Source organism: Homo sapiens, chromosome 5, assembly GCF_000001405.40.
Source record: "Homo sapiens chromosome 5, GRCh38.p14 Primary Assembly".
NCBI lineage: Eukaryota > Metazoa > Chordata > Mammalia > Primates > Hominidae > Homo > Homo sapiens.
Window position 1 is genome coordinate 34,818,239 of NC_000005.10, and position 23,797 is coordinate 34,842,035.

The following is a 23,797-nucleotide window of genomic DNA, read 5'->3' on the forward strand; positions in this document are numbered from 1 at the left end:
ACAAAGCATTAGAGAAAATCTTTAGGGAATCTATTGCCAATCTGAGACCATATGATATTTATTACCATTTCCCTTAGAAAAGTTAATAGTAACTTTAATAGCAGATAACTTATAAAATGATAAAGCTAAAAAATCTGCTTTAAAATATTTCAATCAATGTATAATGCAGACATATAGAACTTCTCTTTGACTTCATTACGAAAGCACTATTTGCTGTCTCAGTTTTTAGTACATAACTCACTAAATTAGCAATTACATAAAATTATTGTGATCTTAAATATATTTGCATTGTACTCACTAAATGAAACTTCTGAAAAATATTTAGAGAATATGCCCTCTGGAACTTCTAATGTTTTAGAAATTAAACTTAGTAGATAATTGTCACTTTTACTCATTTATAGCTTAAAATATCTTCTTTCTTCGAGATTTTCTAGCTGCTTTTCTAGTAGGATCATACCAGATCTGCTCTGCGTAAGCTCAAGGAGGAAAGTCTGCTTGATTCTTTTGTGTAATGTTACATTTAGAAATGTTCTTTAAGTCATTTTTGTGTTTCAATAGGCTGAGATCAGTTCTATACGAGAAAACAAAGACAGACTAAGTGACAGTACTACAGGTAAGACAAGGAAGCATCTGTTTTTTTTTTTCCTTCAACCAAACTATTTCATGTCCATTTAAAGAGAGCAAAGGCCAAGCTGGGGTACTGTGTAAAAATGTCACAAGCCAGCATGTCCACACAGAGCTGCCAGTAATGCACAAGCTGAAGCGCTCTGTACTTCAGGGTGCCTTCTTCACCTGCATTTTAAAGAGTCTCTGAATTTGAATTTTGAAAAATACATCTTTATTTTCATTTGTCCCAAACTACATGTTAGCAGTTCGTTCAATTATGAGTACAGGCAATAAGCCTCAGTGGTATTAGCAGACCAGTGATTTTGTCACCAAGAGAATTCCTATCACCTTACTGTTATTGCAGATATCTTGAAATATTTACAATATTGCTACTAAAAATTATGGCAGTTATTAGACCTGCTGCCAGATCTTGTTATTGTTACCAAATAAGCTCTTAAGTTACTGTAGCCTATATATTTTATCTTACCCATTTAAAAATATCATGTTCAGATGAGGTCCATAGGCTTCTGCTGTCTGCTAAACGCGTTCTTTGCAGCTGAGCAGCACATTATTTCATGAAGGGAGAACCCACCATGCCACCTCCATGACTGTCCCCATCTAACTTTTCTACTTTGGATTTCAAGTAGACACACGCAAAGACAAGAATGTTCATGAAGTCATATGTAATCATATTGTCTTTATGATCATAGGGTTTAATTCATTGTGTCTCTTATAAAAGAGTGCCTCCTAAGAATTTACCCTTTAAGAATGTAATATAGTACCTTCAGAATCCATTTAAAATGTAGAAGAGACAATTTCAAAGGTCCACTTTTGCTCCAGCATTCAGTGTCTTAATCTGTTGTGTATTTCATAGGTGTTTGGAGCCTTTAATTTGCAGAACTTAGAAATATTTTTTATTTATGTATTTATTGATTTATTTTAGAGATGGGGTCTTACTGTATTGCCCAGACTGGTCTCAAACTCCTGAGCTCAAGCGATCCTCCCACCTTGGCCCCCCATAGTGCTGGGATTATAGGCATGAGCCACCACACCCGGCCCTAGAAACATTAAACTTTCTAATTTCTGGCAGAGATCAATGTTAATATAACTAAACAAATGTTACATTGGGTACTTTAAAAACCATTCACTGTATCTTAGAAGTAATTTTTATTTCTTAGAATTGCATTTAGGCTCCCAGTTCCCTAGTTCATTCCACACTCACCAGACTTCATGTCAAGGAAACTCAGCTGTGATTTAGGCATCAGACTTATGATGAGAAGCAAGGATTTCTATAAAGAAAGGTCATTTTGCATCCTTCCAAGTTAAGATTAAAGTTTTCATCTTTGCATTAAATGGCTGTGAGAAAATAAAAAGCATAGCATTAAAAATTTAGATCAGTGCTTTTCAAAGTGTGGGTAAAGTATTTACTAGCTTATAATAATTAAGGAGTTTGAGCTGGGTGTGGTGGCCCACACCTGTAATCCCAGCACTTTGGGAGGCCGAGGTGGGCAGATCACCTGAGGTCAGGAGTTCGAGACCAGCCTGGCCAATGTGGCAAAACCCCGTCTCTACTAAAAATACAAAAATTAGCTATTACATAAAATTATTGAGATTTTATGTAATAGTTAATTATTGAGCATGCCTGTAGTCCCAGCTACTTGGGAAGCTGACGCAGGAGAATTGCTTGAATCTGGGAGGCAGAGGTTGCAGTGAGCCGAGATCGTGCCACTGCACTCCAGCTTGGGTGACAGAGCAAGACTCCATCTCAAAAAGTAATAATAATATTAAGTTTGGACCAGAAATTCACACAGTTACTTCACTAAGCACATTGTTTTGTTCAGCTGACATATCTTTTGTAGGACTTTCTAGATGAAGGAAGCAGTACATTGCATTGCATTCTGGAGGAAGTTTGCTATCTCTGTGAGCACCTTGAATAGCACTCCTTAAGTTGCAATTTCAGCATGATAATCAGTAGGATGTCCGAAAGTTGTGGTTTACCAACAGGGATTACTGTGGGATTCAGAGAAGAGAAGATAGTTTCATGCTAGGGTGGTCTTTGAATGCTTTAAGGACTGGGCAAAGTTTGACATGATGCTTAAGAATTCTCTAGGCAGAGAGATTCTGCAGGGCAATCCTGTGGATAAAGAATGAAAGAATCAGCCGTGTGTTGAGAATGTAGAGGGTGTGATGGGAACCATGAATCTGAGGAAAATAGGAATCTAGAAAAGTAGCAGTGTCATGAACCTGAAGAAGTAGACTGGAGCCAAATCATAGAGGCCTGAACCCAGATAAAGGAATTTGGAGATTATTTTTGGAGGGAAAACAATTAAAGCACTTGACCCAGAGGAATGACCCAATCAAAGTATGTTTTAGGAAGACTGGTCTGACGTTGCTGTGCAGGCTACAGTTTCACTGGGAAGAAGAGAGAGGCAGAGATTTGTTGGGAAGCTGTTTGCAGAGTTTCCAAGTAAGGTGATAAAGTCTTAACTACAGTAATGGTGGTAGGGGGAAAGAAATAAACCAGATTCCAGAGACATTTCTAAAATGATTCACATAACTGAGACTTACAAGGCACAGGGAAGAACCAAAAACAACCAAGATATGACACTTAAGCAAATGAATAGGAAATATATGACCAAATTCATCAATTTTCAGATTGCCTTGTGTACACATGTATCTAGTATTGTGCTAGCAATACCACAGTAAGGAAACCCCAGTTTCCTTTCTATATAAAATGAAAATTTTAGTTCACCCATCCAGCTGCTAGGGCGTTTTATAATTAGGGCCAGGAAGAAGAACTGGATTAGGCTAGGAAGTGAATTTGTCTCAGGTTAGAGAAATAAGAGTTTAATTGTTTTATATTTTAAATGGCTTTCTCTTTCCCAAGGTGCTGATAGCTTATTGGATATAAGTTCTGAAGCTGACCAACAAGATCTTCTCTCTCTATTGCAAGCAAAAGTTGCTTCCCTTACCTTACACAATAAGGAGTTACAAGATAAATTACAGGTATATAAATAGATTGCTATCATGGACTATTCTGTAGAGTCAAGCTCTTGGTCTTTTCAGTAGTCAGATGTATTTTGTTTTAAATGTGTACATTAGTTTCTTTTTAAATATTAGCTTTAAGCATCTTATAGTTTCAGATTATTTGTTTCATGAGAGTGTTATTCATTAACTCTTTCTGTAAATTATTCAACTGGTAAATTATAAATAATTATACACATAGTATGATCAGTATTAAATATTCTATATGTTTAATAAATTATATAAATAAAACAAAATTTATAGAAAAAATTCTATATAAAATATACTATATGCATAGAATGATGCATAATATATAATTTTATATTTTGATTTTATATATATTAAAATTTTACGTTTTAAATTATATATGTATGTGTGTATGTATATATATATATATATATATATAAAATATTATCCATTTAGTAAAGTTGATCATTTAACAGGTTTAAGTACTTGATAAGAAATGGCTGTACCAAAAAATAAGAAGAAGAAATAGCTGTACTATATATCCATTACCCCTCTTGGCAAGTAGAATGATATAAGAAATAAAGGAAATTTTTGAATTGGAGGCTTTGTAGAGAAAACAATTTTAGTGTTTTCAAAGTGACACAAATCGTCTGTCCCAATAGAACCCAAAGCAAGCTTTGTGTCATTAGTCCCACTCATGTCCCAGACTGTCTTTTTTCATGGCATGAGAATACACAGGCAAAGTGATCATGCTACTCTCCCGTACCAAAGTTGCGGATTTACTCCTCTCATTCTAGTTGCTTGCTTAGCTAACCACGCCTTTGGTATCTTTTTTTTTTTTTTTTTTTTTTTTTTTTTTTTTTTTTGAGACGGAGTCTTGCTCTGTCGCCCAGGCTGGAGTGCAGTGGCGCGATCTCGGCTCACTGCAAGCTCCGCCTCCCGGGTTCACGCCATTCTCTTGCCTCAGCCTCCCGAGTAGCTGGGATCACAGGCGCCCGCCACCACGCCCGGCTAATTTTTTGTATTTTTTTTTAGTAGAGACGGGGTTTCACCGTGTTAGCCAGGATGGTCTCAATCTCCTGACCTTTGATATCATTTAATTCTTGCTTTTTTTTCCTAGGCCAAATCACCCAAGGAGGCGGAAGCAGACCTAAGCTTTGACTCATACCATTCCACCCAAACTGACTTGGGCCCATCCCTGGGAAAACCTGGTGAAACCTCTCCCCCAGACTCCAAATCATCTCCATCTGTCTTAATACATTCTTTAGGTAAATCCACTACTGACAATGATGTCAGAATTCAGCAACTGCAAGAGATTTTGCAAGATCTACAGAAGAGATTAGAGAGCTCTGAAGCAGAGAGAAAACAGCTACAGGTCGAACTCCAATCCCGAAGGGCAGAACTGGTATGCTTAAACAACACTGAGATTTCAGAGAACAGCTCTGACCTCAGCCAGAAACTTAAAGAAACTCAGAGCAAATACGAGGAGGCTATGAAAGAAGTCCTTAGTGTGCAGAAGCAGATGAAACTCGGTCTTGTCTCACCTGAAAGCATGGATAATTATTCACATTTCCACGAGCTGAGGGTCACGGAAGAGGAAATAAATGTGCTAAAGCAGGATCTGCAGAATGCATTAGAAGAAAGTGAAAGAAATAAAGAGAAAGTGAGAGAGTTAGAGGAAAAACTGGTAGAGAGGGAGAAAGGTACAGTGATTAAGCCACCTGTGGAAGAGTACGAGGAAATGAAAAGTTCATATTGCTCTGTTATTGAGAATATGAATAAGGAGAAAGCATTTTTGTTTGAGAAATACCAAGAAGCCCAAGAAGAAATCATGAAATTAAAAGACACACTAAAAAGTCAGATGACACAGGAAGCCAGTGATGAAGCTGAGGACATGAAAGAAGCCATGAATAGGATGATAGATGAACTCAATAAACAGGTGAGCGAGCTGTCACAGCTGTACAAAGAAGCCCAGGCTGAGCTGGAGGATTACAGGAAGAGGAAATCTCTAGAGGATGTCACAGCTGAATATATCCATAAAGCAGAGCATGAGAAACTGATGCAATTGACAAACGTGTCCAGGGCTAAAGCAGAAGATGCACTGTCTGAAATGAAGTCTCAGTATTCAAAAGTGTTGAATGAGTTGACCCAGCTCAAACAACTGGTGGATGCACAAAAAGAGAACTCTGTCTCTATCACAGAACATTTGCAAGTGATAACCACGCTGCGGACTGCAGCAAAAGAGATGGAAGAAAAAATAAGCAATCTTAAGGAACACCTTGCAAGCAAGGAAGTGGAAGTAGCAAAGCTGGAGAAACAACTCTTAGAAGAGAAAGCTGCTATGACTGATGCAATGGTACCTCGGTCTTCCTATGAAAAACTCCAGTCATCCTTAGAGAGTGAAGTGAGTGTGTTGGCATCGAAATTAAAGGAATCTGTGAAAGAGAAAGAGAAGGTCCATTCAGAGGTTGTCCAGATTAGAAGTGAGGTCTCACAGGTGAAAAGAGAAAAGGAAAATATTCAGACTCTCTTGAAATCCAAAGAGCAAGAAGTAAATGAACTTCTGCAAAAATTCCAGCAAGCTCAGGAAGAACTTGCAGAAATGAAAAGATACGCTGAGAGCTCTTCAAAACTGGAGGAAGATAAAGATAAAAAGGTTGGTGAAACTGTATTGCTGTTGGGTTTCTAGCAATAAGTCTTAGTCTCTTTGGCTTTTACTATATTAAATATTTCTAGTGTTGGCACTAAACTGGAGTGAATGCTCAGAGGCTCTGCACATGAACTTTATCTGTCACCAAAGCCACATTAAGAATAGTTTGTTGGGTCGGCCGGACGTGGTGGCTCACGCTTATAATCCCAGCACTTTGGGAGGCCGAGGTGGGTGGATCACTTGAGGTCAGGAGTTCAAGACCAGCCTGGCCAACATGGTGAAACCACGTCTCTACTAAAAATACAAAAATTAGCTGGGCGTGGTGGCACACGCCTGTAATCCCAGCTACAAGGGAGGCTGAGGCAGGAGAATGGCTTGAACCCAGGAGGTGGAGGTTGCAGTGAGCCAAGATCAGGCCACTGCACTCCAGCCTGGGCAACAGAGTGAACAGACTTCATCTCAAAAAAAAAAAAAAAAAAAAAAGAATAGTTTATTGGGTATTTGTATTTTAAAAACACATCTGCTGGGCATAGTGGCTCACTCCTCTAATTCCAGCAGTTTGGGAGGCCATGATGGGAGGATGGCTTGAGACCAGCCTCAGCAATATAGTGAGACCCCATCTGTACAAAAAATTTAAAAATTAGCCAGGCATGGTGGTATGAGCATGTAGTCCCAGCCACTTGAGAGGCTAAGGCAGGAAAATCACTAGAGCCCTACAAGTCAAGACTGTCATGAGCCATATCAACACCACTGCATTCTAGCCTGGGCAACAGAGTGAGACCCTGCCTCAAAAAATAATCAATAAGCAAACATCAATCTTCGGCCACTTCTCCTTATACTAAAGCATTTTCATATATCTGTCCTTTAAAAATCATTTTACAGAAGCTTTGCCAGTATTGGGGATCAGAAGTGAACCTGCAAACTGGAAAGTATTTGTGATCCACCTCAAACTTCAGGTTCTTTTTTTGGATTCAGAACAGATTCCTCCATAATATGAAACTAAAATACTCCTAGACTTAATCCTGTTTCCCTAAGGTCCATGAGCTTCCCCTCAAGTCACTGTAAAAGCTACCCTCGCCGGTCCCTCCTTTGACAGGTATATAGGAGAGGAAGGGGGAGGAATGTGGGGAGCCGGCAATTTGAGATGGCGCTGGACACAAGAGATGGTGCTGGCCGTGCTGCTGGAGGAAGGAGGGAAGCAAAGGGGAAGTTCAGGGGGATGGTTCCACGCCTCAATCGGCTCTGCATCTCTAGTCCCCTGTCTCGGAGGTTCCGAATAGCATTCATGAGAGACTACTTGTCTTTATTCTTTTGTAATGAGTGTTTCAAAAGAGCTTTATCATCCAGGGGAACAGGGATTAGGGAGTGGTGGGGTACGGTGAGGAGTTAGTTGTGTTTACTTTAAAGAAAGACGTCCAGAGATATCAGGCTTCCTAGACCTTATTCCTGATCACCCATGTCAGCAGTATTGGACAAAATATAGCTGTCTCCAAATAAAAGCGGAAATCCTAATTCTGATTTTTTTTTTCAATCATACCCATTTTAAGAGTAAAAGTAGGAAACCAACATCACAGCTTTTGTTACCGCCATCACCAAAACATAATATGTAATTCAAGGGCCTTTATCTGAACCTAATGGATGTAGCGGGCTTTGTTAGTTTGCCTGATTTTGTCATCCATTTCATTTTATGAGTTTTTTAATTTAAATGTATTAAAAAGGAATTGTTCCAAAGTCTTAAGTCCCAGAGGCCAAAAGAGATGACTATGTTTGAGGCTTACAAATATATGAAATTTTGCTTTGTAGACATGTTACTGTCTGCTAATACCATTTTCCTTTGCCCCTAGATAAATGAGATGTCGAAGGAAGTCACCAAATTGAAGGAGGCCTTGAACAGCCTCTCCCAGCTCTCCTACTCAACAAGCTCATCCAAAAGGCAGAGTCAGCAGCTGGAGGCGCTGCAGCAGCAAGTCAAACAGCTCCAGAACCAGCTGGCGGTGAGTGGGCTTGTTTCTGCTGCCTGGTTTGGGGTGGAGGGCCTGGCAGATTTCCTACCATCTCAGCTGCTAGGGCAAGTGGGCGTGAACAAAAAGATTCCCAGCCCAAAGGAATGTACTTCAATGAGCAGTTGACTGATTTCTTCAGTGAGGGCAAAAGAGGGAGCCACTGGTGGAATTCCTGGTCGTTATCAGCAATGCAACGGGTCAGATATTCACTGGGAAGGAAAGAACCGACAGGACAGTAGGAGGAGGCTATGTGCTCACTCATACCCTAACTTTTTACCCCTTCTCCTTTTTCTGCAACAGTCTTTCCCCATCTCTGGCAGTGGCAAGAGCTTTTTCTTGTTAGGGGCCAGGATCTCTAGTAGTTGCATCTCTATATATCTGAAGCTGCTTCTTGGCCCCTCTCCTTATTTCACCCAGGAAAGCCCTTGCTTATCTAAATTTGTTTCCTGGGTCCATTGTAACAAATCACCACAAATTTGGTTTAAAACAACATGAGTGTATTATTTTACAGTTGCATTGAACTGAATTCCAAAATCACTTTCACTGGACTAACTTCAAGTTGTTGGCAGGGCTGGTTCCTCCTCGAGACCATAGGAGAAAATCAATTTCCTTGCCTTTTCCAGTACCAGAGGCTGCCTGCATTCTGTGGCTCATGGCCCCTTACTCCATCTTCGAGGCACATCACTCCAGCATCTGCTCAGTCTTCCCATCTCCTCCTTCAGCCTTTGATTTTCTTGCCTCCCTCTTATAAGGGCTCTTGTGATTACATCTAAAGCCCACCTAGATAATCCACGATAATCTCCCTCTCCATCTCAAACCCTTAATTTCATCTGCAAGATGCCTTTTGCCATATAAAGTTTAACATTCACAGGTTCTGGGGATTAGGATGTGGACATCTTTCAAGAGCCATTATTTAGCTTACCACAATATCTGTTAAGGTTTGAGTTGGCATGGGTACATTCCGTTTTCTACCTAAAGTCCAGGGTTAGTCTGTCCTGGACTGTCTCTAGCTTCCATATACAAACAGAACATGGATTTGATGATTTCTTCGGAATAGACCTAACTGTAGTGAATTCAGGTTTCTGCAGTCCTTACTCTGGCTGGCCACAAAGTTCAATGCTAGCTTTGGAGGAAACAGCTCTAGAAATGGTGGATACTTAGGAGAAGCTGCTCTTTACTGTGTTCTGCAGGTCATTCTTCTCCTGATAAAATGGTATTACAGACTTGTAGATAAAGTGCTATTGGTTTATACAGTAATTCTTATAATTACGCAACATGTGTTTGTTGAGCTCTTACATCAGTATTATACATGGGGCTGATGATATAAAATGAGTAAGACTCAGTCCCTGCCCTCAAGGAGTTTATACTCTATATAAGTTATCAGCAAAGAGATGCCCAGCATACCGTGGGCATACAAAGGAAATGTGTCTACCCAATCTTGCTGAGTCATGAAAAGGTTCCTACGGGAGTTACACTTGTGCTGAGTCTTGAAGGCCTGAGTAAGAATATGTTGTTACTTAGCAAGGACTGACATATGGCACTAGCTGGCTTTTGGGAACCTTGGTGAGAACCATTCCAGTGGAGTGGGGAGGAGGGTAGAATCTGGACCGCAGTAGACTGGCTGCTAGAGAAGTAAGTAAGTAGATAGGTATCTGGTGGGGCTAACCAGTCGCAGTAGGGGTTGGGGGAAGCCTGAAGCAAGCTTGCTGGAAAGATGGGAAGTGGTGGTTAGGGTGTGGGATGCTTTCAGTTGAGATTTCAGAGGTGGTAATGATAGAGGCAGGGCTACAACCATGACAGGAGTTGCTGAACTGAAGAGGAGCATGTTATTAAAGCTGAAGTTGAGGAACTGAGAGGTCCAGGTGTTAGATGGATCATTCACACAGATATCAAAGCCAAGCGAATGATGACAGAGGCAGTGATAGAAAGGAAGCCAGATCAGAAGATAAAATCATAAATAATTGAGTAGAGGTTGCTGAAAGGTGGGGAGGGAACAACACAGAGAAATGCCAAATGTGCCTTCTTATGATGTGAACTTAAAGGACGGGTTTTAAAATGTCCCTTAATAACAGGAAAGATACCTCATACTCTGACACTGATGGGGGGAAGGAAGAATGGGTATTATGGACTTTTGTACATTTTTGAAGTAATCCATATATGATGGTCTCAATTTTCATGATGAATTAGGAGGACAGGTTCTTAGAACAAGAGTTTCAGAGATAAGACCCTTGAAACAGCCACTGAGAGGAACTGGAGTAATAGCTCAACAAGGAGAAATAGAAGCATCAGCGGCTGTATTGAGGAACCACTGGAGATTGGGGCCACCACCCTCTTTGCCTTCTTAGTACACTGATAGCTAAATAATTGAGCTCCCCAAGGATTATACAATGCTGGCCATATAGTGGGTAATCAATAATTCCCTTAAAAATAATAGGCTTTAAAAATTAAATTAGTACATATTTGGTCATTGTAGAAAAGTTGAAAAATAAAGAAAACTCTAACAAGTTCCTATAAATAAAAATTTTCCATAATTCAATAACTCTGAGATAATCACTTTTTACATTTGATATATTTCCTTGCAGTATTTACATTTAATGTAGCTGTATTTGCATAAGTATATGTACATATATACACACACATATATACATATATACACACATATATAGACACACATACACACACACACACATACACACACACATATATATATATATTTTGAGACAGAGTTTTGCTCTGTCACCCACGCTGGAGTGCAGTGGCGTGATCTCGGCTCACTACAACCTCTGCCTCCTAGGTTCAAGCGATTCTCTTGCCTCAGCCTCCTGAGTAGCTGGGATTACAGGTACTGACTACTACGCCTGGCTAATTTTTGTATTTTTAGTAGAGACGGGGTTTCACCATGTTGTCCAGGCTGGTCTCAAACTCCTGACCTCAAGTGATCCACCCACCTCAGCCGCCCAAAGAGCATATATTTTTAAAACCAAATGTGGGGTGATAATAACTCCTTTTTATACAGTTTTTTCTAGAGTTGACATACCAAGACTTTTTTCCCTAAGATGATTGACAAGTATTCAGAAATACACAAGCCAGTAAGGCCACAACAATTTTAGAAGCTTCCAGTGCTAGCATAAAGTGGAGGGGACCACTTGGGTAGCATTTGGCTGCAGCTTTCTCATAGTTTTTTGTTTTTGTTCTTTAAAGATCTCTTAAGCTCATTAATAATGTGAAATATTCCCTTTCTAGGAATGCAAGAAACAACACCAGGAGGTCATATCAGTTTACAGAATGCATCTTCTGTATGCTGTGCAGGTATGGTTATGCCCCTTGAAGTATCTGGACATCCTAAAGAAATACGGCAGCAGATGTTGACAGAACTCCCATCATTTAACTAGGAGAATGAACAAGAATTAGAGGAGAATCCTTTTCACTGGAAAGCCTGAATATGCCTTTTGCATTGCTTTGGATTCTGTGTCAGGAGCCTTGTGCCCTGTTTACCAGGAACAGCCCCATCTTTTAAAGCAGGGCCTCACTCTGTCATGCAGGCTGGAGTGTAATGGCATAATCTCGCCTCACTGCAGCCTCGACCCACGGGCTCAAGTGATCCTCCCACCTTAGCCTCCCAAGTAGGTGGGATTACAGGTACCCACCACCGTACCTGGCAAATTTTTGTATTTTTGTAGAGATGGGGCTTTGCCATGTTGCCCAGGCTGGTCTCAAACTCCTGAGCTCAAGCAATCCACCCGCTTCGGCCTCCCAAAGTGCTGAGATTACACGCATGAGCCACCATGCCCCACCCTCCCATCATTTATTGAGGAATGAGGGATGATGTGGTCCTCCACTGGGAAGACGGGGGCTTTATTTTCCAGCAATGCTGATCTTCTTAGTTACCAGTGCTGCCTTGGCTCTATGATGCTTGGTGTTCTGGCTGCTGGACTCACATTTGCAACTGAGACCCCAGATAGCTTTTGCTGAGGGTTTTGGTAGACACTGCCACCTCATCTTCCAGCTGGATAAAGGCAGGGCCCTTTCTTTGACTCAGTTCCTCATAGAAATTTGGGAAATGATAGGGCTGACATTCCTGTGAAAGATGTGGGAATTAGCCCAGGTCTTCATTGCAGTCAGCCATCTCATTCCCCAGAGAAGAAAGTGCCATGGCTTAATTTAGGTTCTAATGAGTATCTTGTGTTTGAATATCCTAGGGCCAGATGGATGAAGATGTCCAGAAAGTACTGAAGCAAATCCTTACCATGTGTAAAAACCAGTCTCAAAAGAAGTAAAGTGGATTCCTTGGCAGGACACTGCCCCTTGTCATCTGTCTTTGTGTTAGATCCAGAGTTGTCGGCAGCCGCTGCCATTGTTCTCATTCGTGGTATGCACTGTGGCCTAGCGTAGCTTCTTCCCTTTCCAAAGGTTTCTGAGGACTTCTCCCAGGAGAAGACTGCCCGCCTCAGAACTGCTTAGAGACTTCAAACCAGCAGAGGTGAAAGTCCCTGTCATCCCTTCAGATTCCAGAGCTGGGATCAGCCATGCCCAGAGGTCTGGTCCTGATGCTGGCAGGGGGGCCCCCTCCTCCATCCCTGACTGGCTGAGTGGCTTTATCACCACCGAGTGATGTGCTGAGGCCTCCTGCAGTGAATGCTCCTTCCATTCCTGTACTCGGGCAGTGCCATTCAGCACAGGAGAGCTCTTTTTGCCTTTGGCTTTCAATTCCAAAACATGATTTAATTTCTAACTAAATTAGTATGGCACTAGTTATGAAGTATCTGCTTAAAACCCTTCATCATGATATCCTGTGGATTTAAAAACTCTAATTCCATGTTTTCTTCCCATCTGCCTTATATATCTCATCACCCTGCTTATCAATATTCAGTTTGATGAGCACTATTAACTAAAATATGAAACTTAAAAACAAAAGCAAGTTGTCCTTAAAAGTTCTTTTTTTAAGTAAATTGTTGACATACTGCAAATTTTCTATGCAAACTTGCCTCCTGCTGTTATCTGTGAAGCTCAGGAAATCCAAACATTTGTGTTTCAACAAGGGACAGTAAACTGTGTGTTTACAGCCAAAAGAAATGCCTCATAGTTCTTAACCTCAACTTTTGTAGAAGTATTTTTTTCTCTGTAATATTTTTATTGGCTCATAAAGATGTTTTCATATCTGAACTCCTAAATAAGTGAAATTACAGTAGATTATATTAACAAAATACTTTTTAGGTAGCCATGCTTGAGACTTTTTAAAAATATAACTTTTTCCTTAAAGTTTTCAGCTATAGCAAAAGGTAGTTATGTATGCCAGACCTAATATGAGCTGCCACCAACACCCCTAGAACTTTCAGCCATGGTGTCTTCAGAATTGTAGCGCATTTCTGAATCTAGCAAATCCTCCTTTTACCCGTTGAATGTTTTGAATGCCCTGACTCTACCAGCGCCCATAAATGATCTCTAGAAGGACTGTTAGTACCAATCTGTTTTTCAACTTTGAAGCTAAAAACCCTGATATGGTAATATTATGGTGCATAGCAGAGGTCTCGGAAAAAAAATATTTCTGTTCACTTTACTTTCAGGTTAAAAATGTTTCTAACACGCTTGCAACTTCCCTTATGGCATTAATCTTGTTGAGGGAGAGAGACAGAATCCTGGACTCTCCAAAGTATTTAACTGAAAGTAGGGCCTGCTCTGACAGGGCCCATGTCCCACAAGGCTGCTTGGCCTCAGTGGGTGCTTGGCTGTGCTGGATGATATGTTGATCTGTATTGGATAAGGACCAATGACAGCAAAGCAAAAATGGCTTTAAAGCTTGGTGTTACTTTTCTTAAGTTGTTTAATTATAGTTAAGCAATTTCAAAAATGCTCCAAAGAAATGTGAAAGGACCTTTTGTCACAGCACTTCAGAAAATACACAACAGCCCCTTCTGCCCCCGCACAGAAATGCTGCAGAGTATATAAAACTTGAGACATTTTTGTAGGATGCCTGACGAGGTGTAGCCTTTTATCTTGTTTCCGGATGCATATTTATTACGAGTACTCTGGTTAAATATTGAAAAGTTATATGCTGTAGTTTTTAGTATTTTGTCTTTGTAATTTACAGAAGTTATTGGAGAAAATAAACTTGTTTCATTTTGCATTTCTGGTGTTGATTTTTGGTGTATTCAGAAGCATATCTGCGTGGCTTCTGAAGATCAGTTCAATAGCATTTCAGTGTAATAGGTTTTCTAGTCTGTGCTATGCTCAGCTGGTATGAGTTGTCCGCACTGTCTCACACAAAGTCTCACATCATTTCCTTTTCCCAGCTCTTGGATTCGCCCTGAGCTCTGCCCTGAGTATCAGCCGCTTTGGGGCAGTTGAATCACAGTTGCCTTTAATTCACAATTGCCTCTCATTTAATCTGCAGTCTGTTTAACTGTTTGGAAGCCTCCGCTGGATTTTTTTTCCCTCTTGCTTCTTGCTTTTTTTGAAAAAGTAATACATACATATGTAAAAAAAAAATCCAGATACATTTTCCTGCCCCATTACAAAGACAATTCAATTAATTCCTGACAAAACTCTTGTCAGGTGAATTCTGGCAAGGTTAAAATCATAATTAAAATTGTTGCAGGTTATAATCATAATCAAAATTACATGAAATAGGTACAGCTACTTAAGAAGTTAGCATTGTTTATCATACTCCAATGTAACAAGGCCATTTCCCTTCACTTACAACATGATTCCACCTCTACTTCAGTTTCATTGTGCCTTCCTACTATACCCTGAAACTTTATTTCAAAGAAAGCATGTGTGTGATACTCAACTGAACCTTTTATTTCAACTGTGGCCAACCAGACAACTCAGAAGGTGACTTCATGGGGACACTCAGCTGGAGAGGAAACTGAGATAAACCCAAACCAGTCATCTCTGATGGACAGAAACGCCTCATAAGGCAAAATTGGGATATGAAAAGAAACTCTCCTGCCTCCACAATTAGATAGCAGCTGAGATTGTAGGACAAATGAAAGGAACCACAAATAAATCTTTCTCTTACTCCCCAATCCTTAGTGCATCTACCCAGAAGCAACATCTAGTAAGTTTCTTCGGTGACCTGAGACATTCTCTGTCTATATGTACATGTAGGCATGTATTTTTCTTTCTTCTTTAAATATCTTGGATATTATTCTCTGTCAGCATACACATCTCATTCTTTTTAACTGCTGAATAAAATTGCATAGTATGGTGCTATATTTTATCTTGATAATTCCACATTATGGACATTTAATTGCTTCCAGTATTGCAGCTACAAAAATGATGCAATTGACTATCCTATGTATGTATGTATATCTTTACACGTGTAAGGATTTTTTGAATTTTCAAATTGCTCATTTTTACATTAGCTTCCATCAAGATATGGGCAGAAAAAAAATGAATAGAATATTGTTCGTATCATCACATTGAGAAAGAATGGCCTTTCCCTTCATGTTGTTTGAATAAGAGTCATTAATTTGTTTTCCTTACATACACTTTAAGACAAACTCCAAAGCCTTTAATAATTAAACCCACCCATCTTCAGATAAACACATGATACGCTGTGAGGGGAAAACACTCCCTGAACATGTTGAAGCACAACATTTTGCAATGCAGCATAACAAGAATATTGAGTGCTGACAGTAGCAGAAACATTATGCAACAAAGATTGGGGTCATTTTTTGAGCAAAGTTAAGCAGCAGACTGCAAGGCCAAGAGTGAGCTGGAAAAAGCCACAGACCAAAGAACTAGGGCTTTCACAAGAGTAGCAATTTTCTATTCACCAGATCAGGGCAGAGATTTGTCAAGCATTATGGGAGCGTGTGACATATTTGAGAAACAAAAGAACAAGGACTCAGCCATAGGAGCTGGGCAAGGGAACAATCAACATAGGTTCCAGCAGATGGAAAGGCTCCTTTGAGAAGTAAAGCCCCCACGAGGCGAGTAGGAGGAAAGCAGAGACATTCCTGCATACTTACTATAAAGCAGGCTCTAAAATGGGAAGAAACAGCATATTCAAGAACCGTAACTGGATGTACCAGATTATAAAGTGGAGGATACATAAGAGTATTAGTCCGTTTTCATGCTGCTGATAAAAACATACCCAAGACTGGGCAATTTACAAAAGAAAGGTTTCATGGACTTATAGTTCCACGTGGCTAGTGAGGCCTCTCAGTCATGGTAGAAGGCAAGGAGGAGCAAGTCACGTCTTAAATGGATGGCAGCAGGCAAAGAGAGAGCTTGTGCAGGGAAACTCCCGTTTTTAAAACCATCAGATCTTGTAAGACTTATCCACTATCACAAGAACAGCATAGGAAAGACCCACCCTCATGATTCAATTATCTCCCACCACGTTCCCCCCACAACATGTGGGAATTCAAGATGAGATTTGGGTGGGGACACAGCCAAACCATATCAGTAAGGGATGGAAAGAAGCAGGACACAGTCAAATGATGCAAGCTGCTAACAGCCAGGAGAAGAGGGCTCCTTATGTGTCACCTCCATATGTTTTTAAAACCATGCATTTAAGTTACACACTCTAGTAGGCAGAATAAGTCCTCCCAAAGACATCCATGTCCTAATCCTCAGAACCTGTGAATATGTTAGCTGTGAATCTAACCTGTGAATAAGTTACATGACAAGGAGGAATTAAGGTTGCTGATAGAATTAAGCCTGCTAATCTGCTGACCTTTAAATAAGATTATCCAGGTGGGCCCAGTATAACAAGAGGGGTCTTTTAAAAATGGAAAGAAGGGTCAGAGATTTGAAGATGCTGCATTGCTGCTGGCTTTGAAGATGAAGAGAACAAATCAAGGAATGCAGCCAGGCTCTAGAGGCTGGAAAAGGTAAGAAAAAATTTTCTCCTTGAGCTCCCAGAAGGAGCCACCCTTGCAGACAGCTTGTCTTTAGCCCAGTGACACCCATTTCAGACTTTCAACCTCCAGAATTATACAATAATAAAGTTGTGGTTTGTTAAGCCACTGAGTTTGTGGTGACATTACAGCAACAATAGGAAACTGATACACACAGGGAGAATCTCTACTAATGGAGTTCCTAAAGGTCATTTGTAGTTTATGTGTTTTTTTTGTTTTGTTTTTCTTTTTTAACACTGATATATCCCAGGCACTGTGCTGAATGCTAAAGGCTCAATGATAACAACTCCTGCTCACGAGGAGCTCATAGCTGGCCAATCAGGGCCTGCTACCTAGCAGGTATTCTGTATTCACTGAGTGGGTAGATGAATATTTAGACGGATGAATTGCCTATAAGGCCCTCCATGACCTGATGCCCCACCACTTTACTGACACAGTCTTTTGTCTCTTTCCTCCTCATTCTTACTACCCTTGGCTGTTCTTTGACCCCATTAAACTTGTTCCTGCCTCAGGGCTTTTGCACTTGCTGTTAACATCTTAGAATGTTCTTCTCCTAAATATTTGCACAATTTGTTGCACGATTTGAGGTATCTTCTCAATGTCATCTTGTCAGAGAGGCCCTGTTTAACTACACTATGTAAGATGGCACACCCCTCCCGCCATGGCCACATCACCTTCTAAATCCCTTACCTGGTTTTATTTTTCTCCATAACTGTTTATCATGTTTTCTTTTTCTTTTTTCTTTTTTTTTTTTTTTAAGATGGATTCTTGCTCTTGTCACCCAGGCTGGAGTGCAATGGAACAATCTCGGCTCACTGCAACCTCTGCCTCCCACGTTCAAGCAATTCTCCTGCCTCAGCCTCCCAAGTAGCTGAGATTACAGGCACCCGCCACCACACCCAGCTAATTTTTTACTTTTAGTAGAGATGGGGTTTTGCCATGTTGGCCAGGCTGGTCTCGAAATCCTGATCTGGTGATCCACCCGCCTTGGCCTCCCAAAGTGCTGGGATTACAGGCGTGAGCCACTGTGCCCAGCCCACTTTTTCTTAAGGTGACTCTTCTGGCTAAGGGAGTCAGTGAGTCCTGAAATCCAGCCCACTCTCTGTTCCCAAAGCTGTACTCCTTAGCAGGGGTCTGAGTCTGGCTGGAGGAAAAGGCTTTTTCCAAATTCATACACTGTCACTGCATACTCCCTAAGCCTTCTGCCTTTTTGTAACTTGCAGAGACACCATACTGTTTACTAGCAGCTCTGTTTTTCTTCATCTAGTAGAATATAAATTCCTGGAAAGCAAAATCATTATCTTATTTGTTCACTTTTGCTTTCCTACTGCTTAGAACATTATCTGGCACATAGTAGGTATTCCACAAATATTTTTGTCTGGGTGGATGGATAGATGTATGGAGATTGGAGAAACTTGCAAATAAACAGAAGTGCCAGTACAATGTGAGAGTCATGATGAGATTGTGGACAGGGTACTGCGAGGGCTCAGAAGCAAGGCATCTAACCCTCTCTTGAGAGGCCATAAAAATGTGTTCCAAGCGAAAGTTTATTTGGATTTCCTTGCCTTAAATTTCACAGTTCCTGGGATAAGAATAGCTTGGAGATAATCACATTTGATTTGGGGTTGTTAGAGCCTAGAAAAACCCCCCATACTGCTTCCTCTATGCAATTTCTGCAATAGCAATGCTTGCCACCTCTACCTCCGGATCAGGGGAGGGAATGTGAATACACACGGTGGAAACGCACTATCCACTTAGATTAGTGGGATGCCATTCTAGAGTTAGTGAACAAACCTAAAAGTGTATATACTACAACTAAAGCTTACATTTGGGGGACAGGGTTAACATGACAAGGAAAGAAATACCAAAAAACTTCAAGAGTCCTCAAAGTTCTGGCTGGACGGTGGCTCACACCTGTAATCCCGGCACTTTGGGAGGCTGAGGCAGGCAGATCACCTGAGGTCAGGAGTTCGAGACTAGCCTGGCCAACACAGTGAAACCCTGTCTCTACTAAAAATACAAAAACTAGACAGACAGTAGTGGCACACATCTGTAATCCCAGCTACTCGGGAGGCTGAGGCAGCAGAATTGCTTGAACCCGGGAGGCGGAGGTTGCACTGAGCCAAGATCACACCACTGCACTCCAACCTGGGCCACAGAGTGAGACTCTGTCTCAAAAAAAGAAAAAAAATAGTCGCCAAAGTTATTTTATTTTGATTTATAATTTTTACAGATGCAGGCAACATGCTTCCGGTCAGAGCTAATGAAATGGAGGCCGAATTAGAGCGTTGGCTTTAGGAATGGGAATTCAGTGCCTGTTCTGGTTCTTCTCTCCACAATTATCAGCAAAAGCAAAGGTTTAGAAAAGAGACATTACCTTTAATATACTTAGAAACAATCTCACAGCCATTTCCTAGAATGAAAGAACATTAAAACCTTTCAATTTGATGACCAACTTAACAAGGGGTAAAAGAAATAAATGTTGGAGAACAGGAAACAGGTTCTTCCTTTTTACTCCCATACATGTTAAATACTGTTCATAGAGTCACAAAAATCGTTTACCCCTTACAGAAACCTGGAACCAGAAGGCGCTTCAGAAAGCAAGTGGTACAAAAACTTTCACCGTATAGGCAAGAAAATTGGGACCCACTGGCCGTGACTCGGCCCAGGCTACAGAGTCAAAACCAGAACCTTGACATTCTGAAATCAGGTTCATTGCTGTCATCATTGTTCCATGCTGAGAGTTTTCTTAGGAAAAAGAATAAAGTGGGGGAATCTTTCCAAAATTGTGACTATGGAGCTCGAAAGTACAGATTTAAATCTTGAGTTAACAGACCATACAGGTTTTACTTAAGAGATATTCAAGCAAACTCATTTAAATAACTCCTCCAACCTAACTCCAAAAAGGCTTTCTTGGCAGTCTTGGATCAATGGCAATTAAACTTCCAGCCTAGAGCTGGAAATAACAAACACCAAACGTAAACACCATCTTTCACATTCTCAATGTTCTCCTTGTCTCTCTACCTAGTCTGCTCTTTTCTGAAAACAACTGGGACACATTCACTCCAACTTGACTTGCCATAGGCCTAGTCTATGATAGGGTTCATAATAACATCCTTCAACATAGCGTTGCAAGAGCTGGCGCTGTTTCTTTGGGTATGGCCACAATTGCCTCTGCACCTTGTGTGTATTACACACACTGTATTCCATGCCAACGAAAGGGTAAGATATGGCTGCATTATTTAGGGCTAAGTGCTAAATAAATAATGAACAGCTAACCATTAGCAGATCTAGTAGTCGATTTCTTACCCTACTCTCTTCCTGCAATCAGCTTTCCTAACCATGCCTAGCTCCAATCTTACTGGGTAACACAGACGGTGCCAGCACAGTCAACAGCCATATCTAAGCCTTTCCTCTGGGGTCCATAAAAACAAAACTCCCGAGGAGCTGTGGGGGTGCACCGTGGCCAGGATCGTCGCCGAATACAGCCCGCACACGTCGCAGCTTTAAATAAGTAGGGCCGTGGGGCCCGGCGCTCCCTTCCATCCTTGGACGGAATGTATCTTCTCTTCCTACGCCTTCACCTCCGAGGGGTAAGGTCTCGTGAGATACAATATGCAGAGGCCAGTTTTGGGGCGAGCCGGAGGCCGGGCGCGTCTAACCTGCGGGGAAGGGAAAGCGGAGGGTAAGGCAAGGGCTGCTGTAGGCGCCAGACAACAGGGACTCTCCGAACCGGAAGTGCCCCGCGTCGCCATGGCTACAGGCGCTCCCAGCAGAACCCGTAGCGTTCCGTTCCCATGGCAACGGTATTGTCTCCTTGGCCGGACCTGGGCTGCGGAAGGTAACTGGGGACGTCGCAGGCTGTGCAGCTTTCGCGAGGCACCGCTTTGGCGCCCGGACCGAGGTGCGCCAGGGTCAGGAGGCCGACGCAGCGGGAGGAAGCCGCGCCGTCGGGCTCAGGGAGCTGGGAGGCTGGTTCCGGGGCGTGGTTTCTCCGCCTTGAGCCAGGTGCCCTTTGCGCACTCGCGCGTTCTCTTAGAGCCTCCGCGGCAGAGAGGCTCTCAGAGCTCGACCTGCGGCGTCAGGGCTTACAGACTTGCCGCAGAACCACAGCGGGAAAAGAGGAGCGATTCGTCCTTGAGGGGCTCAGGGCCGTGCGGAACGTCATAGGAACAGAGTCCGGGAGTTTGAGAGATCAGAACTCTTTGCTGTGGGCATAGTGTTTAAAGTGGAGGTTAAAAAGAGAAATTAGTGACTCTCCCTTTCTGATTTTCGGATAATGGATGCTCTGGAGCCTGGGTCAGAAAGCCACTCAGGGCTCGGTGGGAATTAGTGATTCTGGAGGGTGAAAGGAGAGGCGACTTGGTGGATGTTAACATTCAATAAGTAACTGCGTTCGATTTGGGTTTGATTTAAGCGACTGGCATAGCCTTCCTTGAGAGTTGAATTTCACAAATACTGTATTTAGAAATCACATTTTTCGTTTTGTGCTTCCGAGGTTTCTCCTATCATCTAACAGCAACAACTAAAACAGACACATGAATTTCATTTTATTGTTTTATTTTATTTTGAGACGGAGTCTCGCTCTGTCGCCCAGGCTGGAGTGCAGTGGCGCGATCTCCGCCTCCCGGGTTCAAGCGATTCTCCTGCCTCAGCCTCCCGAGTAGCTGGAACTACAGGCGTGCACCACCACAGCCGACTATATTTTGTATTTTTAGTAGAGACGGGGTTTCACCCTGTTGGCCAGGCTGGTCTCGAACTCCTGAACTCGGGTGATCCACCCGCCTCGGCTTCCCACAGTGCTGGGATTACAGGCGTGAGCCTCTGTACCCGCCTCGTGACCCCTGTACTAGAATCTGCTATTAATTAGTGAAATGACCCCGGGGGGGGGGGGGAAAGCAGAATTAACCAATACACTGGCTGTGCTTCGTTTACCACTGAGAGTTGGTTGCTTTGCTTAAATCCAACACGCCGTCAGACCTGCAAAAACAATATCTGAGTTAAGTAGGTGACCATAGTTTTGATGACCCAGGAACTGTAAATGTGCTTGCTTTGAGACATAAAGGCCAGGGATTTTGGAGAAGTAGGGTGGAGTTGAAATTAGGGGAAAGAAATTTAACTTAGACATTTAATTTGGCAAATGTCTGTTTTCCAGCGGTCTCCATATCTAAGTATGCGTAGTCTGTGGATTTAGGATGGGTTATATATTTGAGCAGTTTTAGTTTAATGTTAATAGCAAACCAGAGGGGGAAAATAGAACAGACACCCAGCCTTTTCTCTCAAAGCTGACCTTACCTGATTCTTGGTAGGAAGAAGATGCAAGCCAGCCCCATCCGTATCCCAACTGTTAGCAATGACATCGACTGGGATTTCTGCTTCCATATGTAAGTATCACAGCATTTTGACATCACAGGTACTTACTGGGCTGAAACACTGGGACCTCCTGCTTAAGGCAAACCTGGGTGAGGAGCTTTGCATGAGAAGCGTTCACGACCAGCCTGACCAACATGGTGAAACCCCGTCTCTACTAAAAATACAAAAATTAGCTGCGCGGTAGTGGCACGCGACTGTAATCCCAGCTACTCGGGAGGCTGAGGCAGGAGAATAGCTGAACCCGGAGGCAGAGGTTGTGGTGGGCTGAGATTCCATCACTGCACTCCAGTCTGGGCAATAGAGACCCTGTCTCAAAAAAAAATAAAATAAAATAAAAAAGAAGGTTGTGTTTCTGATGTGCTTTAATAATGATTCTGCTATAATATCTGTTTGTATTTACAACCTATGCATGATAGAAGATTGCTTTTTCCCGACTTAAGGAAATTTTAAAAGTTTTTAAAATAAAAATAGGTTAGTTATAACAAGATTGGCAAAATTGTAGAGAGTTAGCTATAACAAAGTTAATGAGAAAATTTTTATGAAATAGAGTAAATAAAACTTTCGTATCGTCTAATACTTATTGAGCACATACTATGTGCCAGGCTCTGTTCTAAGTACCTTAAACGTCTTAGCTGATTTAATCCCCCCAAGCCCTGTGAAGGAGTTACTGTTATTGGTACATTTTATAGATGAGTATGAATCAAAGAGATGTTAGGGAGTTTGCCCAAAGTTGCAAAGCTAGTAAATGGTATTTAAACTGGGCATTCTGACTCTAGAATCCATTCTTGTTTTGTTTTGTTTCGTTTTTAGAGACAGCCTTGCTCTGTCACCCAGGCTGGAGTGCAGTGGTGCAATCACGGCTCACTGCAGCCTTGGCCTCTTAGGCTCAAGAGATCCTCCCACCTCAGCCTCCTGAGTAGCTGGGACTACAGGCACACACCACCATACCTGCCTAATTTTTACATTTTTGTAGAGATGCGTTCTCATTATGTTACCTAGGCTGGTCTGGAACTCCTGGGCTCAAGTGATCCTCCTGCCTCAGCCTCTCAAAGTGCTGGGATTACAGGCATGAGCCACTGTGCCCAGGTAGAGTCCATTCTTTAACCATTCTCTATAGCAGGGTTTCTCGGTCTCTGCACTGTTGACATTGGGGTTGGATAACTGTTTGTTGTGGAGGGCTGTCCTATATGTTGTAGGATTTTTAGCAGCATCCCTGGCCACCATCCACTAGATGCCAGTAGCACTAGCTCCAGTTGTGACAAGCAAAAATGTCTCTAGATGCTGCCAGATTTCCCCTCGGGGCAAAG

The 23,797-nt window shown here is 41.8% G+C and overlaps 2 protein-coding genes and 1 long non-coding RNA gene across 46 annotated transcripts in view, besides 1 other annotated feature; 2 read left to right on the plus strand and 1 right to left on the minus strand.

Annotated features, from left to right (window-relative positions):
* RAI14 (retinoic acid induced 14) overlaps positions 1 to 14,374 on the plus strand; it is a 176,285-nt gene extending 161,911 nt beyond the window's left edge. For all 23 annotated transcript variants that reach the window (NM_015577.3, NM_001145522.2, XM_047417088.1 and 20 more), the window contains 6 exons: positions 559 to 613; positions 3,494 to 3,612; positions 4,718 to 6,253; positions 8,092 to 8,241; positions 11,494 to 11,559; positions 12,450 to 14,374. In NM_015577.3, coding sequence (NP_056392.2) covers positions 559 to 613; positions 3,494 to 3,612; positions 4,718 to 6,253; positions 8,092 to 8,241; positions 11,494 to 11,559; positions 12,450 to 12,527 — 2,004 coding nt within the window. In that variant the 3' untranslated portion in view covers positions 12,528 to 14,374. The remainder of the gene's footprint in view (positions 1 to 558; positions 614 to 3,493; positions 3,613 to 4,717; positions 6,254 to 8,091; positions 8,242 to 11,493; positions 11,560 to 12,449) is intronic.
* A 4,934-nt stretch (positions 14,375 to 19,308) lies between these two features.
* TTC23L-AS1 (TTC23L antisense RNA 1) lies at positions 19,309 to 21,094 on the minus strand. The gene is made up of 2 exons (NR_183259.1): positions 20,945 to 21,094; positions 19,309 to 20,779 (listed from the first exon to the last, which is right to left on the minus strand). It is a non-coding gene; the product is annotated as a TTC23L antisense RNA 1 (long non-coding RNA).
* The window catches only part of TTC23L (tetratricopeptide repeat domain 23 like), an 86,519-nt gene continuing 83,647 nt past the window's right edge, over positions 20,926 to 23,797 (plus strand). For 6 of the 22 annotated variants that reach the window (XM_047416824.1, XM_011513984.4, NM_001386172.1 and 3 more), the window contains exons 1-2: positions 20,926 to 20,958; positions 22,427 to 22,501. In XM_047416824.1, coding sequence (XP_047272780.1) covers positions 22,434 to 22,501 — 68 coding nt within the window. In that variant the 5' untranslated portion in view covers positions 20,926 to 20,958; positions 22,427 to 22,433. The other 16 variants (NR_169876.1, NM_001386171.1, XM_017009119.3 and 13 more) reach the window with 5 other exon arrangements.
* Positions 21,216 to 21,325: an enhancer, noted in NCBI's record as "active region_22466". NCBI's record gives its function as "activates an Ori minimal core promoter by ATAC-STARR-seq in GM12878 lymphoblastoid cells {active_cell/tissue: GM12878}" and the evidence as "EXISTENCE:reporter gene assay evidence [ECO:0000049][PMID:35858748]".